The sequence below is a fragment of the Homo sapiens genome, chromosome 5 (genome assembly GCF_000001405.40).
Source record: "Homo sapiens chromosome 5, GRCh38.p14 Primary Assembly".
In the NCBI taxonomy this organism is placed as follows: domain Eukaryota; kingdom Metazoa; phylum Chordata; class Mammalia; order Primates; family Hominidae; genus Homo; species Homo sapiens.
In genome coordinates, this window is record NC_000005.10 from 122,103,108 (window position 1) to 122,119,106 (window position 15,999).

General features: G+C 36.5%; 1 long non-coding RNA gene across 1 annotated transcript in view; it reads right to left on the minus strand.

Moving 5' to 3' along the window:
• Positions 1–10,309: 10,309 nt before the first annotated feature.
• ZNF474-AS1 (ZNF474 antisense RNA 1) overlaps positions 10,310–15,999 on the minus strand; it is a 41,478-nt gene continuing 35,788 nt past the window's right edge. Inside the window, exon 5 of the long non-coding RNA XR_007058915.1 lies at positions 10,310–11,912. This is a non-coding gene — a long non-coding RNA (ZNF474 antisense RNA 1). The remainder of the gene's footprint in view (positions 11,913–15,999) is intronic.

The window sequence follows — 15,999 nt, forward strand, 5'->3', positions numbered from 1 at the left end:
ACAGGCTGACGTAATAGTTTGTAAGTAGAGTAAAATAAAATTCCAGACCTGACAATGGTCTCTCACAAGGTTGTATTCTTTTTTACTGTACCATTCTATAATTAGTATTTTTACCTTCTTCAGATGTTAGATACTAGGCCAGTTCCAAAAAGTAATTAATTTATCTTATTGATCTATCCCACTTTGATGATGGGCTATTTATAGAAATCAATAAATTAAAAAATACTTAGAATAAGAAAACATGTTATTTCTAAAAATAGTAAGTTTCTTAGCAGAAAGCAAAACTCAGCAATATTTTCATAAGGGATGCTGTATGCCTTGAGCTGACAAACAAGAAAATAACTAAAATGCAGCATAGATTTGACAACTGTCTGTTGGAGGGGAATGAAAAAATATATTTTCACTCAGTGCAGATAACCCTCCCACACTGTTTCTGGTACAAAGGAGGTACTCAATATTTGTTAAATGAATTAACAAACAGAAATTCTCTAAACTTTATTAAATCTGTAATGATGAACTCAAAGTAATTTCTGTGATTTCCATAAAGAACACTATCATGATTAAAAGACAAATAATGGAATGGCTATGAAAAAGGGCTCATTATTTTAAGATTTATTTTAATTTTAATTGGATACATACCATCTTAATTATCTTGTATTTTACTTTTAAAATATGAATTAGAGACACAAGTATAATTATGGCTAAAGTAAAAAATAGAAAATGGAGAGAAAAAAGCTTTGTACTGTGGAAAACATCAAATATACATAAAAATAGAATAAAATAATGAACCCCCGTTTACCCAACACCAGCTTCAATAATTATCAAACACAGCCAATCTCATTTTATCCATACTTCCTACTCCTCCAACTGTCCGTTGAATTCTTTTGAAACAAATTCATGATAGCATCTTAGTTTATCTATAAATACTTGAGTAATACACATATTTTTAATGAAAAAAAATTCACAGTAAGGATGGATGATTGTCACAAACTTAACATTTCTCATCAAATAGAAACATAACCACAAATGTCATTTCACACTAAAAAGTGCTTTATGTCTTTGGTATGGTCAGCTTTAACTTCAGCTTAAAGCAGGGAGATCTTTTAAAGCTTAAAGATCCCTCCTCCTTCCCATTTGCTTTACTTCGAATTTGTGTCACTGAATTTAGAATGTGTTAATGACTTAATGAGATCCAGGCTATTAATGGAAACATAACACCATTTCAACTTTAAAGTAGTCCATCAGAAGTGAGAATATTTTCTGATTACCACCCCTTTTATGGTAAAATTATTAATATTGGACTTCTAGTGATGGAAAGTCTAAGAAGAATTAGTATTGTGTACTAAACTAGTCATATTTTTTTTTACAACTCTTTATGACTTGTCAGTGGAAATCATTTCTGGGAGTTACGTTAGTGTGCATATGCATTTGTGTACACACACACACACACACACACAATGCCTTAGAATTATAAGAGAATTCTGTAGTTTGTTGTCACACACAGAGAGTTGTACTTGCTAAAATATTAAGATACATGAGGACAAATAACTGCTGTTCTGAGCTTTGACTGTGTTTCTGCTACCCAGGCCACCTAGACCTCTCCATGATCAGGCAACTAAAAGGTTGAAATTTAGCACAGTAGAGATGGGTGGCCCACTTCCAGCATTAGGCAGCCTCCAATCTGATTGAAAGGTGCTTGTATTAGTCAAGATCTCCAAAGAAACAGAACCAATAGGAGGATACGTGTGTGTGTGTGTGTGTGTGTGTGTGTGTGTGTGTGTGTGTGTGTGTAGAGAGAGAGAGAAAGAGAGAGAGAGAGATTTTTTGTAAGGAATTAGCTTACGCATTTATGGAGGCTGAGAAGTCCTGCAATCTTTCCTCTGCAAGCTGGAGACCCAGGAGAGCTGGGGGTGTAGTTCCAGTCCAAGCTGAGGGCCTAAAAAACAGGAGAAACAATCATGTAAGTTCCCGTCTAAGTGTAGGAGAAGACTGATGTCCCAGCTTGAAAACAGGTTGAGCTAGCAAACTCTTCCTTACTGGAGACCTGTTGTTCTATTCAAGCCTCCAACGGATTAGATGAGGCCAACCCACCCTAGGATGGCAAATCTGCTTTACTTAATCTGATCCAAATGGTAATCTTTTCTGGAAACTCTCACAAACACACTCAGACATAATGTTTAACAAAATATCTGGGCATGTCATGGTGCAGTCAAGTTGACACATAAAATTAACCGTCACAGTGTCCCTGCTTTATTGATTGGTAAACAATTTGAAAAACTGCTTATTTAAAACATGGTATAGAACTGATCTTGGGAATTGATAAAAAGTAGGCAAAACTGTGGCAAGAAAATAAGGAATAATTGCAGAAAAGCAGAATAGAAGTAACTAAAACGCCAGGCTAAGAGCTCTCTTTGTACATTAAAAACCCAGGACTTACTCAATATCTCAAAGTTAGAGGACCAGGTAGGAAATAAATAGATTACAGGTTGAATATCTCTCATTCAAAATGCTTAGGAACAGAAGTGTTTCAGATTTCAGATTTCTTCAGATTTTGGAATATTTGCATATATATAAGATATCTTGAGGATGGGACTCCTCTTAACATTAAATTCATTTGTTATTTATGTTATTCATCTATGAAATTCATTTCCCATTTATTATGAAATTCATACACCCTTTATTATATACATAGCCTGATCTATTGTGGTTTTATACAATATTTAAATAATGTGGTTCATGAAACAAAGTCTGTATTAAATTCTTATGTGTGAAATTTTCCACTTGAGAAGTCATGTCAGTGCTCAAAAAGTTTTGGATTTTGGATTTTCAAATAAGGGATGCTCAACCTTTATGAAGACAAAAATAACAAATCACATATAGAGAGTGCCTTACTAAGCACTACAAAGTAGGTACATGAAAACTGATTGACTTCGTTGATAAAGGATGCTTCTGGTGAACTTTGTAAAAAATTGCTGTGTAATGCAATATGAATTTGCTGGGAATGGTTTTGTAATAAACTCTATTACCTTATGACCAATTCATCAACTTTCCGTACTAACCAATATTTTCCATTCCAGCACACTATTGCCCATGGCTTGCTGAATGTTCACTGTTGGCAGCTTTTAGTCTGGCAAGCACCTACCAATTGAGATATATGTTGACCAATACCATAGCCAGTTGTGTTTATTTCCAAATCAGTTTATGCCAGTTGTACTTATAACTTTAAATATGTAAACTAAACACGTTATATAAATCAATAAACTATGAGTGAAAACATTTAAAAAGTTGCTTCTATGAAAATTAAGTGGAAAACTTATTCAAAATTAGATTGAGATGAGTAACTAAAAATTACCAATGAATTACCTGTGGATAGTTATTGTAAAAAATAGAGTGGAGAATCATCTTACTCTAGAATGATTTTACACCCAAATTGCTTCACAAGTATTTTCAAGAGCTCAGTCCACCTTAAATAAGTGGATTAAATAAAAATTATAAATTATTAATAATACACAATGAGGTAGTTTATTAAGAATAACAGCATGTGTTTAATCATTTGACCTATTGGCTTTAAATCAAAAGATTGGTAAGCAAAAGTGCATTCATTTGTATAATTTGTATAATGGTGAATAAATGCATATTTTAGTTAAAATAAAAAGGGAAAGGTATGTATAACTTTTATAAGTAAGTGTTTGAACTGATATTTAAATTAATGACAACTATAATTCCTGATTGTGTCAAGATTTCTACTTTATGTGATTATTAGAATCAATTAAAAGTTAAAAGTTAAGTATTATTTCTGTTATTTTTGTGTGTTCTTTATAGAACTATTTATAAGACTAACAGAATAGAACAAGAGACTTGTATAAACCTGCTTTGTGTCTCCTTTTCATGTACACTATCCATATTTGAAGAAGAGTCAAAACAAGGATCTAATTCTCTTGTCCTCCCCTTTATGAGAGAAAAAGGGTGAGATGACCTGAACCAACAAAGCATCGTTATCTGTATTTATTTATTCCAGGAGATTTGTATTCTGCACAAGGCAACAGGATCATTTTCCCAGAGACGGGAGTAGCCATGGTGCTCTAGACTGGGACTCAAGGAGATCAGTGGCATTTGCATAGGGCTGAGGACCAGGCTGTCCCTGGAGAATTCTGCCTGAGATGACTGCTAACACATAGGAATGTGTGGTGCAGTGGTTGTTGCGGGTTGGGGTCGGGGGACCTGGTAAAAAGTGTACAGCACAATTCAAATCTGCAACAAAATGTAGTTTCTTTATATCCAGAAACTGATCTCATCTTATCTTGGAAACCCCATTCCTGCTGATGATAGCAGAAAAAATAATTGCACTTGCCAATTAAAGGTAAATTATTCTGTTAGTTTTAATTTCTCATCAGGATTAATTCTCAGTTTCAAAATTTCTGCTCCCTTTCTTTCTGTCCAAACTGGCCTCTGGATATTAGTGGAAGCAAATGCATTTTTATAGTATTTGGGAGGGCAGTCTCTTCCTCATGCCATCCTCTGCTCTTCAGCATTTGCTGAGATGCCCTATCTTTCGTCCTTACTGGGAGGGATCTGCAGACGCCTGCTGCGTTGTGGCTGTTCTTGTCTGGACTGGTGCTATGCACTTGTACTGAAATTCACAGATCACTGACCATGGGCTTCATTGCTGCCTTTTTGTGCATTAACCCCTGTACCACAGACTTCCTTGGGCGGCTGGTCCGGTACCTCAGTGCCCCACAGGGAAGCCCGGAACATTTGCCTGCTTCCTCCACATTTTGCTGCAGCTTGCAGGATTCTGTGAGATAGTTCAATGCCTTTCTCTCAGCGATCACTATTCTCTTCAGACACTAAGACCAAACAGAACATAGGGCTTTGCTAAGTTCATGGACTGGTATAGCATAGTCTCATGGACTGGTTCTGTGGACACAGTCCATTAGCTCCAATGCCCTTGAATTGTTCCTGTTTTGTATCTTTCTACTCACGATCACAGGGACTTTGGCACTAAAAGAGGAGCTAGGACACTTGTATATGACCTCTTGCCAAACCTTCACCCTCTCTTGGCTCTGCTCCACAGCAATTAGAAAAAATCTTTTTTTATTTCTGTTAGATGAAGTCTTTTCTTACACCATGTCTTCATTCCTTTCTTTACTGTGGCTTATAATACTTAGGTTCACACTCCCATGTTTTGATCTTGATATACAAAGAAAAGTTGGGAATTTCTTTTTTCTAAAAGTTTTTGTTTCAACAGGGTCTGAATTTTAATGCTGTTGTTTCACAAAATGTTTTAAAAATCTGATTTTAGACTCAAATCTGAGGAATGGCATTTTTGATCCAGGGAATAGCTACACATTATTTTCCTGGAATAATAAAACTCTGAGTCTAGCCTTAGTTTTTGAAGAGCAATATGGGAAAAGGGAAAACTGGATTACTGTAAGGGAAAATATATCAAACATTGAAATTCCCATTAGATATATTCTTCCCTGCTGAGATACAACCCACTGCCTTCTTCAAACCCTGTTTTTTCTATCTGGCTACACACCTGCCCAAAATTATACCTTGTTCTAGTCCAAGGTATAGCAATAAAAAATCCCTAGGAAACTGGGTTCCTGAATGAGCTAAAAGGGAACTGAAAAAGTGAGTAAGAGAAACACTAGAAGGTAGAGTCTATCCAATATGGGATACGACTGATGGATTCTGAAAGCATTACCTCTTACATAAGCTTTCTTATTCTAGGACTGGGAAAACAGGGCAGTGTGGCCCTTTATCCTCAGTCCAAACACTTCCTGATCCTACACATCTCTCTCAAGTGTCAAACACAAAGTAGCTTAAGAACATATTCTTTGTCTCTTTTGCTCATTAAATTACAGACCTAAAGAAAACAGTGCTACAGATGGGTGTTTTCTCATATAATATGACAGCCATTTCACTGGGTCTTTTCCAAAGAGAAATTGACAGATGCACTGGTGATCTAGCATTCCCTCAACTACAAATACCATGAAGCCAACAAGATGATGAGGAGCCTCCACTTAGATATTGATTGCCTTATGGTTTTGAATCCTACCAGGACCCTATGGCCAGTGACACTGTGACTGTTACTGGTAAAGATGTAGTTTTAAAACATAGCGAGTTGAGAATATCATTCTATAAATTGGAATTTGAACATATAAGCTGAATATAAAGAACTATAAAACTTTACTACACATCTAGTAGAATAACTAGAATTACAGGTATAATCACATCAATGATGGCAAGGAAGCAGAGGAAATTTAGCTCTCATATATTGCTGTTGGCAGTATAAAATGGAAACCACTTTGAAAAGCAATTTGGTAGTTTCTTAAAAAGATTAACATACACCTACCATATGATTCTGCCTTTCCACTCCTAGGTATTTACCCAAGAGAAATAAAAGCATATGCCCATAGAAGACTTACATACAAATATTAGCAGCTTTATTGGTAATAGCCCAAAACTGGAGGCAACCCCAAAATCTATCAACAGGTGAATGGATTAACAAATTTTGATATAGCCATACAATGGCATACTACTCAGCAATAAAAAGTACTGAACACAACATGGATGGATCATAAAATTATTATGCTGAGTGAAAGAGGCCAAACAAAAAAGGTTACATAATATATTATTCCAATTATATAAAATTCTAGAAAATACAGACTCATCTATAGTGTCAGAAGGTTAGCAGTGTCGCTCTGGGGATTGTGAGGTCAGGTTGGGGGACAGGCGAGAGAGACAAAAGAGGCACAGGGAAAGTTTCAAGGGTGATCAATGTGTTCACTATCATGATTATGGTAATGGTTTCATGTGTACATACATTTGATGCACCATTATGATAACAAAGTCTGCCTCTGGTTTAATAAAAACACACATGCTTGCCACTCTCAAAAATGAGAGTAAAGAAAAATCCCCTCTTGCTATACATGCATTAAAGGCATTTTATTTATGCATTTCCTCTTTGTCTTTTGATAAGGTTGAGAACAGCTAATTTGTTCTCAAAATTTTCTCTTTTGCACAGGCCAAATAATTCCAATTCTCTAGGGTTTTTTTTAGAGTATTCAAGAATAATAGGCTGTGTTCACTTCTCACAGGTCTTTGAAGTAAAATGTCATTTGAAAAAAGAGTTTGTTTGCTAACTTTGAATTCTAAAACCACTGATTTGCTAAACATTGAACATGGTTTAGCTGATGCATCCAATATGTGAGCATACAAAGTGTCACTTATAGGGAAAATCCAGATACTACGTGTCTATGACCAGAACAACATCACTATTATAAAATAACCAGCTTCAATATAGTGGGTGTTACGAAGCAGAGAAGAGCTTTTGATTTTTATATGGCTGATTCTAGAGATGGGCAGTTTACATTTGAGTAGTTAATTGATTCAGGGGATTTCTTTCTGCTAGCACATCGAATAATGATTCTGGATCTCCCAAGCTTTAGAGTATCTGTTCTGCCTTTTCTCTTCACACACTCACCAATCCCCAACTTTAATAAAAGAGAATTAGTTTTTCTCCCTCTGACTCTACTAGAATGCTAAATGACATTTTGCTACCCAAAACAATTTTATAAGGGGTTAAGGGTTTATGCTTATTTCTAAATTCCAATGTTAAAAATCTATTTTCAAATTCATAAAAATAGATTAAGGCCTATTAGACATAAGCTGTCACACTTAATATTATTACAAAACAAATGAAATTTTTTAAAAATGTCTTTACCATTAAAGAGTATGAAATGTAGTTAAGGGTGTCAAAGAACAAAATTTCAGCAAGTTGTGTTTCAAAGATCAAATTCTTTTTTATTAGTGTTTTGTGAATCAGGCAGCATTCCATCTACAAAACAGAAAGACATTCGAATGAGCTGAGCAGAGGGAGTAGGCTTTATAGACAGAAAGGCTGAAGAACATAAAACAAGAAACAAAATGTGGATTCATTGTTTAAAAGTTACTTTCCTTACAGGGTTAAGGAAGAGAAAGTTTCCTTATCATGCCAGCTTACGGTGACTGGACCTGTTTGGACTGGTTGCTGAAAATCTGGTTTGTTTTCGTTGTTGTTTAAACTGGCTTTTTAAAAGCCATGATCAGTTTGATTATGTGGCACCTAGCACACATGACTCCATTCTGGGCTGGGCTGGTCTCTTGGGGCCTTGTGTACAAGCTGAATTCAAGACAATGCCATCCCATAAATTTAATTTAACAGGGGTAAATTGCAAACGTTTTAAATGAGGAAAATAAAAAAATTTCATTACAAGTGGAAGAAGTACCTCTCACAAGGCAGTACATGATTAAGTACCAATGAACATCCCAGAAATTGGTCACTGTGGGAGATCAGAGGTTCATTATAATTTGGGCTAGTGGGGGACAGCTTTTCTTCAGAGTCAGACTGAAGCTTGGTCTTAGAGGGTTGTGTAACATGCACCAAATGTTTGGCTAGACCAAGGAAATACACAATTGCTTTTAATAAATCGCTGGGCTGCCGTTCTCTGTTGGGAGAGTCAATATGTTTAGGGAAGGCACTCTGCCAGTAAAGTCCATCCCCTGAGCTGATGATGCTGACTGCCCTGCCAGTGGGTCACCTGCTCCCAGGCCAAACACACAGTGTGACTGGAAGTCTCAAAGGATCAGTCAGAAATAGCTCACTTGTCGGAACTGGGGTGTATTTGTGGAATGGTTTGTTGAAGCACCTGTGCCCAACCGTGTCTGGACATAGTTACTAGTCTCTCGTTTTCCCAAGTGGTAAACTTGTTCACAGATGTTACTGGAGGGAAAGAATATGTTCAGTGTTTATGCAGTGAGTCTGCTCTGAAGAAGCCATTATGCTTAACTAAGGAAATGCCATAGTTATTTTGGTATTCCTTTAATTTTAGAAGTCTTTATTATTTGCAGGGCTGACCAAAAGACTTAAAAAATCCACAAATAAATAACAAATTCTTGTTTAATATGGTGGATGTGACTGGTTTCTGGAAAACAAAAGAACAGTCAGTTACTCTTGCACCCACCCAAGAAGCTAAACGTCTTCCTAGTATTGACCAAGAAATCTGGTGACATAAACCTTCACTTTATTCTGAGCTAGAATATCTACCTCACAAAATAGGCCTGCCAGAAGTTTATCTCTATTCCTAACACATCTGAAAACAGCAGCAAAGAGCTCGCAAAGATAAAAGAAAGGTAAGAGGAAGTTTCCATGATCAATCTCTCATTGTCAATCAAGAAATTTCCACCTCATAAAAATTATCTCTAGGACTTTTTAACCTAAGCCTTTTCTGCGCTGAATAAATAGAGGAGAATGCATTTGGGTTCTTTACTTTATCCTTCTTAATGCCTAAGAAAATGTTTATTGTTTGTCAGGAAATAAAGACAAAGGAATAGTAATTTGTAATTTTTTCCACATGTGTGTAACTTGTATCAATTGGATAATTGAAGTAATTCTACAACCAACTGAAGTTGCCTTAGATTAATTTAATACAAGTTGCTTTCGACAGTTCTCTGGAGATCATTTCTTATGGCTATGTTGGGGTACTGAGGTGGGGCCGGTGTCTTATTTTTCTTTCCTGGTTACCTCTGACCTTAAGTTGCTATTTCTATTGAATTTCTAATATCCATGCTTCATTGCATCTGCTGATTATGACACTGACCCATACTACCCCAGATACCGTTGACCCATGGCTATGTGTGGAGGAGAGTTGTTTTGAGAGCCCCTAGCTAAACTGTGGTTCCAGTACCAGAGAGGCTAGCAATCCTGCCCTAACAGGAAACGAAAAGGAGCCTTTCACAGGACACTTCTTTCACCTAGCAGATGGCTTAGTGCCTAGCTGTCTGACCTGAGACCAGGATGTCCCTCACATGGGGAACTTGGTTATATTGGCAGACATCCTTGAGACTCTTGCCTGACCTGTGTCCAGTTTATGCCTACCTGACCATGGCCTTAGTACTGGGAGACTGCTCTTGTGTTCGTCCTGGCCTCCCTTGGAAAATCTAGCCTAGGGTAGTCCCCAGTTCTTCAGATGGAAGGTGAAAATTCAATACACCACCACAAAAACAAGCAAAGTCAAAGCTTTTTGCTTAAGGCCTTGGGCAGGGAGGGTGCAATGAATCTGGAGGGCAGCCCTCCATCCCTCGGTCACGCAAGGCAGGAATGAAAGGTCAGGCAGAGAGAAAGAGAGAGTGGCAGCTAGCAGAATATGGATCACTTTCAGTTTACAGGCAAGTGCCTGAATGGTTTATTTAAAGGAAGTGGCGGGAAAACACAGGGCCCAGTCTGCTAGGCAGGAGAGATGCCTCTAAGTTCTTATCTCTGGCCACCAGCTTTAGCCATTGGGTGTGGTGTTCTATTTCTAATGCCCAGGCAGCAGCCCTTGCTGTGTTGTTCCATTCTAGGTTTCCTGAAGATTTGTAACAAAAGGTATCAGTGGGAGGAGGTGGAGCAGTTTACATTTAATCTCAGGTATTCGGTTTTGAAAAAACACTTCAGACATTTCTATAGCCAACAGTCTCTCTTTTCTGACAAGATTCTGGCTTCTCACGACACTGCAATTTTTGCCTCTCTGTTCAGATCTCCTTGCCACTTTGTGAAAGTTTTACTCGCCCCTAAATCCAAGATTCCCATGGAGTAGTTTCTCTATCTCCCAAACTTTACCCAGACCGGTCCTATACAATAGAACGTTCTATGATGATGGAAATGCTCTGTAATCTGCACTACACAGTATGGTAGCCACTAATTGTATATGGCTATTAAGCACTTAAAGAATTAAACATGACATTAGAGTTTAATTAATTTACCATGTACATTTCAATAGCTGTATGTGGCTAGTGCTTGTTATATTGGATAGAACAGCTCCACATCATCCAATGTTGACCAAGAGAGGCAGCTTCTTCCGAACTAGACAGACCTATTAACATGTGTTTCTCAATAGAGATAATCCTTCCCCTGATAGAAACAGGTTTTTTTCCCCTACTTGCTAAGTATCTAATATGGTCTGTGTTCATATGCATAAAATGGCTAATAAAATATTGAAGCGACCCTCAGTTTAGACTTTAGTATTCTATTACCCTCATCCTTGCTTCTCAGATACATCCTTTTAAACATATGCTACACATTCATTTAATGCCAGTGTACCAATAAAAATTAGTACATCTTGATTCTGTATCGAAGTACATGACAATTAGCTTCCTAATGTAGCCAAAAACTTTCAAATATCTAAGTCATGATTTTAAAATACATCATTTCTGTCTCTAAATTTTAGGACACACTTCAGGTGTATAATTTTGCTTTGGCAAGTTGCATCCAAGGAAGTTTGGCATTCTATACTATGGGAGCGTATGCTCAATTTTCAGATTAATATCCTGTCCTCTCAAAGGGCAGAATATGCCTCTGCTATTGCAGTGTCATGCAACTAATTGTTATTGCTTTTGGTATAAAGAACAAGCTTTAGAGTACTGCAATTCTTTCAGAGGAAGTTTTAGTTATCCCAAGAGTGTACATTTTGTTTTACAATACATTTTTGCCTTCTACATTCCTTTTTTTAAAATGTTTATTACAAATGTTAATATTAAACAGATGGGTTTTATTTTTGTGACTGAGTATGCATTTAATAGATGCTGTGAACACTTCCCTTCATGAAAAGACTGTTTTGCTTTTGAGCCAAGGCTTGACATATTTCCTTTCTGAAACACTCCCTTGTTTAGCTATTTGCTTGTTCTACCTTTAAACTTATTCTGCGTTTGGCATCGAATCATTTAGGTGTTTCACATAGAAAGTGAGCATTTCTATTTACAAAGACCAGAGAAGAATTCTACACACTGGCACATTTCCCATTGTGCTGGCATCACCATCTTCCAGGTGTGCCTTCCTCCCAATTTATAAAGCAGTTCTGCTGTCCACATTCTGTTGGGCAAAAAGAGTTCTGCAAAAGAAACAATTTTTATTGAGTTAGCAATTTATTTCCTATCAATCAATCACATGAAGTAAAATCTCTTTTTTGATCCAGTTAATATTGGTTTGCATTCTTTGTATCTTATCTCTTAAACTTTGAACCACAAGGGTTAGACAAACTCTTATTTTGTTACCCATAAGGCAGATTCATTGCATTTAAAGTTACAAATATCATTATTACATACTTTAATTATAAAAGCAACATAATCACATGAATAGAAATATAAACCAAAAAAATCCACTATTCTTTACTTAAATGCAATCATTATTTCTTTTCATACAAATTTTTTCACATACTTATAATAATGATGTCCGCATGATTTAGTATCTTACTTTGTAATTGACTAACATTTTATTATAAGGCGTTTCCATGTTGTGACATAGTCTCCTCAACCCTCCTTTTTTATAACCATCATTTCAATGGCTACATATTATTCCATTCAAGCATAACTCTATAATTAATTTAAATATTCCCCTATTTAGGAACATTTGGAATACACTTGATATTTGATAAGATAAAGAAGACTGCTAGGGGCATCTTTGTACTTACAGCTTTTTACATATTTTGTTTCACCTAATAGTGAGACTGTTTACATATTTCTAGATAATGTATTAATCTACCTAGATCTATATCTAATAGAGTAGATCTCTCTGTATCTATTATTGCTTTCTTACAACTGTTAAATTTTGAAACCCTAACATCAGGCAAGGGTAAAACCAGTAAGTATATTATAAAGAGACAATCTTCTACAATGCTAAATATGTTAACTAATTTATTCAAAATATGCTTTTGAGCAGTACTATGGATACTATTCCTGATGTACTAAGAAGGCAACAGTGACCAAGTACCTTGGTATACTGGGCTGCTCTAGCAAAATACCATAGACTGGATGGTCCAAGATTAGGGTGCCAGCATGTTTAGGTTCTGGTGAGGGCCCTCTTTTGGGTTGCAGACTGTTTTCTTATTGTGTCCTCACATAGTGGAAGGAGCAAACAAGCTTTTTAAAGCCTGTTTTATAATACAAGGGCAATAGTTACATTCACGAGAGCTCTGCCCTCATGACCTAATCACCTCCCCAAAGGCCCCAAACCTATTAATACTGTGGGGCTTAAGGTTTCAATATATAAATTTGTAGATCAAGGGGGAGGTGAGACACACAAACATTCAGATCATAGCACCAAGGGAGCCACCATCTCTGTCTTGATGGGGTTTTCCTTATTACAGGTGGTGTAGACTAGCCTACAGAGTGACCGGTACTTTGAGGAAGTAGAGGTCCTGTGGAAACACATAGAAGGAATTGAATCCCCTCCTCATGGAGCCTCAAATGGCTTCCTAGAGGAAGTAGCATTGAAATAAAGCATAATAAACGAAGAATTAGTCAGCAAAACTGTAAGATGGGATAGAGAAAGGGGGGTGAGTGCATTTCAGGAAATATAATGTCACGTGAAAGCAAAGGGGCATATATGTATTAGAGGAACTCAAAGAAGGTAGTATGCCAGGAGAAGAGACTGCGGATAGGACCATTGAATGTTTCTTTTGCATTTTACCTAACATTCATCAGCAATCACATTTAATGCGTAATCTTAGATTAATTGATTGAGTTTATCATCAAAACTACCTTTCCAACAGAATTCATCCCATTCCAATACAAGGCAATGTATTAGAGGTCAGTTAAACTGCATCCTCGCCAGCATCAGATGGTATCACTTAGGTTACTTTAATAGCACGGTAATAAAAAAGATATATCATTCATGTTTATAACAAGCATTTTAAGGTCTATGGAGTGATTTAAGGGAAACCCCCAGGGAAGATCTGTTCAAAGAGATCTTCTACAATTCTTTTCCTGAATACTGAGATTCCTATTCTGTCTCCTTTGGCTAAAGGTATTGAAGGCCCTTGTAAATTTACAAATTTATTAGTTGGAATAATTACATATTCAATTCCTTTTGGCCATGAACACTTTGTAATAAGTTTTTTTCATATTGATTAGCAAAGACCTGTGTCTTTAAAGAATAGATCACAGTGGAGTTAAATTTTGATCGTAAATTTTGAGGTGGAAATGATCCCAAATAAGAATTTCTCCTTGGAAAGTGAAAACTTAGGTGTTGGTATTGGACTTACAGAAGACTTGGAAAGCAAGATAGAGAATAGAAAGGGGCTATTACCCTCAAAATATTATAAACTGTCTCTAAGTCATACCCTATTCACAATTTTTCCTAGTCCCAGCGCTGTCCAAAGTAGTAATTCTACAGGAAAATGAAAAATACCTTTGAAAGATAACTTTTTTTGAACATCAAATGTGATGACTTTTAGCTGCATGGCCAATTTCTCAATGTAATATAGACCAATGGAATCATGGTTTCCTTTCTACTCTGGCTGTTAGGCCACACATTAGTAGGTATGGCCCGTATCTGAGAAACTCATAAAAAAACTGCACAAAGTAGGGAGGATGGCGATTAACACAGTTGTTGGCAGCAAAATTAGGGGGAGTAATTTAATTTTGATTTTGTTCTAGCAATCATTATAACTAGTATTTCTAGTCTTATATGGCATTTGCAATTCACTGTTTAAATATTGTGGCAGTTATTTGGCTCTTTAAAAATATTCTGATCCTCCTCCTTCTGGGCATGTGGTTATTGTGATTCCCTAACTTCCATTAAATTGTAACTTGCTTTGGCTAATGGGAAGAAAAGGAAAGTGATGTGTATCTCTTCCATGTGGAAACATTAGCCAGTGGAAGATGAAATCCAATGGACTGGCTTTGAACCATATCCATTCAATAGCCAACGAAGAATGTGGAAATGTGAGGAGCTGACCATGAAGCTCCATATCTGTCTTTGGATGTTAGATGAGGCAGACATAGTTTTGTATCCAATTTAAGCTACTATTGTTTGTTTTTCACAGCAGGTAAGATTGTAACCTAACTAATACTATGAGAAAATTGAGATGTGAGAGAGAAAGATATCAAAGAGTTGGACAGAATTGGAATGATCAGAGCTTTGGGGGTAAAATAGTCTTAAAGATAGAGCAAACAAATTCAAAATGCATTGTTAACAAAGTTGTATTCACCTTGTATTTGTTTAATATTAGGAGAAGCAAGTGTCAAACTTTTCCAAAATAATACACATTAGTTAATTTACTGTAATTCTGCAACACATACCTTCAGTATTAGATACCAAAAAAATGCCTTTGGATGCCAATGAGTTTCAGCAGCAAACTTCACTTTATGAGCTCACTCATAGGAAACCACTTGTTCTGTCATCCCTCAGAATAGTTTAATTAGAGAATAAGAAAATACAAGAAACAGTTTCAAATCTTATGCCTCTCTCCATTCACCTTTTCCCCATTTTTGTGCCATGGGTTAATTGCCACAATCTTAAGAATATATATTTTTTTCATCTAGCAGCACATGAATGAATGTTCTCTGCTCCCAGAAGACCTGGCAGCCAAAGAATTACATTCCCCAGGCCCGGTGACTCTCTGTAGGCTACTGACTATAAGAAATGGGATTTGCCTCAGGGCTGATAGATTATAAACCTAGCTCTGGATGTATCAGGTTAGTTTGTGTAACACATAAGAACTGTTAGGTTGCATATAATAGAAAACATTACAAGTAGTGACTTAAGTCATAATGATACTTCTTATTCCATTTTTTAAAAAGTCTAGAAATAGAAGGTGCCAAGATTAGTTGACTTCAGTGGCAAAATGACATCATCAAAGTCCTAGACATGTTCTATTCTTCTATTCTGCTATTCTCAGCATGTTAGCCTCCATTCCTCTTGGATATAAGATGGGTCACCCCACTCCACATTTATGTCCTTCTTCAATTCTATTAGAAAGCAGGAAGCCAGAAGGGAGAACAAGAGGGAGTTTTCTCCCTGATGTCCAAATCAAGAAGGAAAATCCTTGCTAGAAGCCCATTAAGACTTTGCTACTCAAATTGTGGTCCTCAGATCACAGCATCACCCATCACTAGTGAACTTATTAAAATGCAATGTCCCTGGCCCTGCCTGATTCAGATTCAGTATTTTGACACTATGTCCGGGTGATACCTATA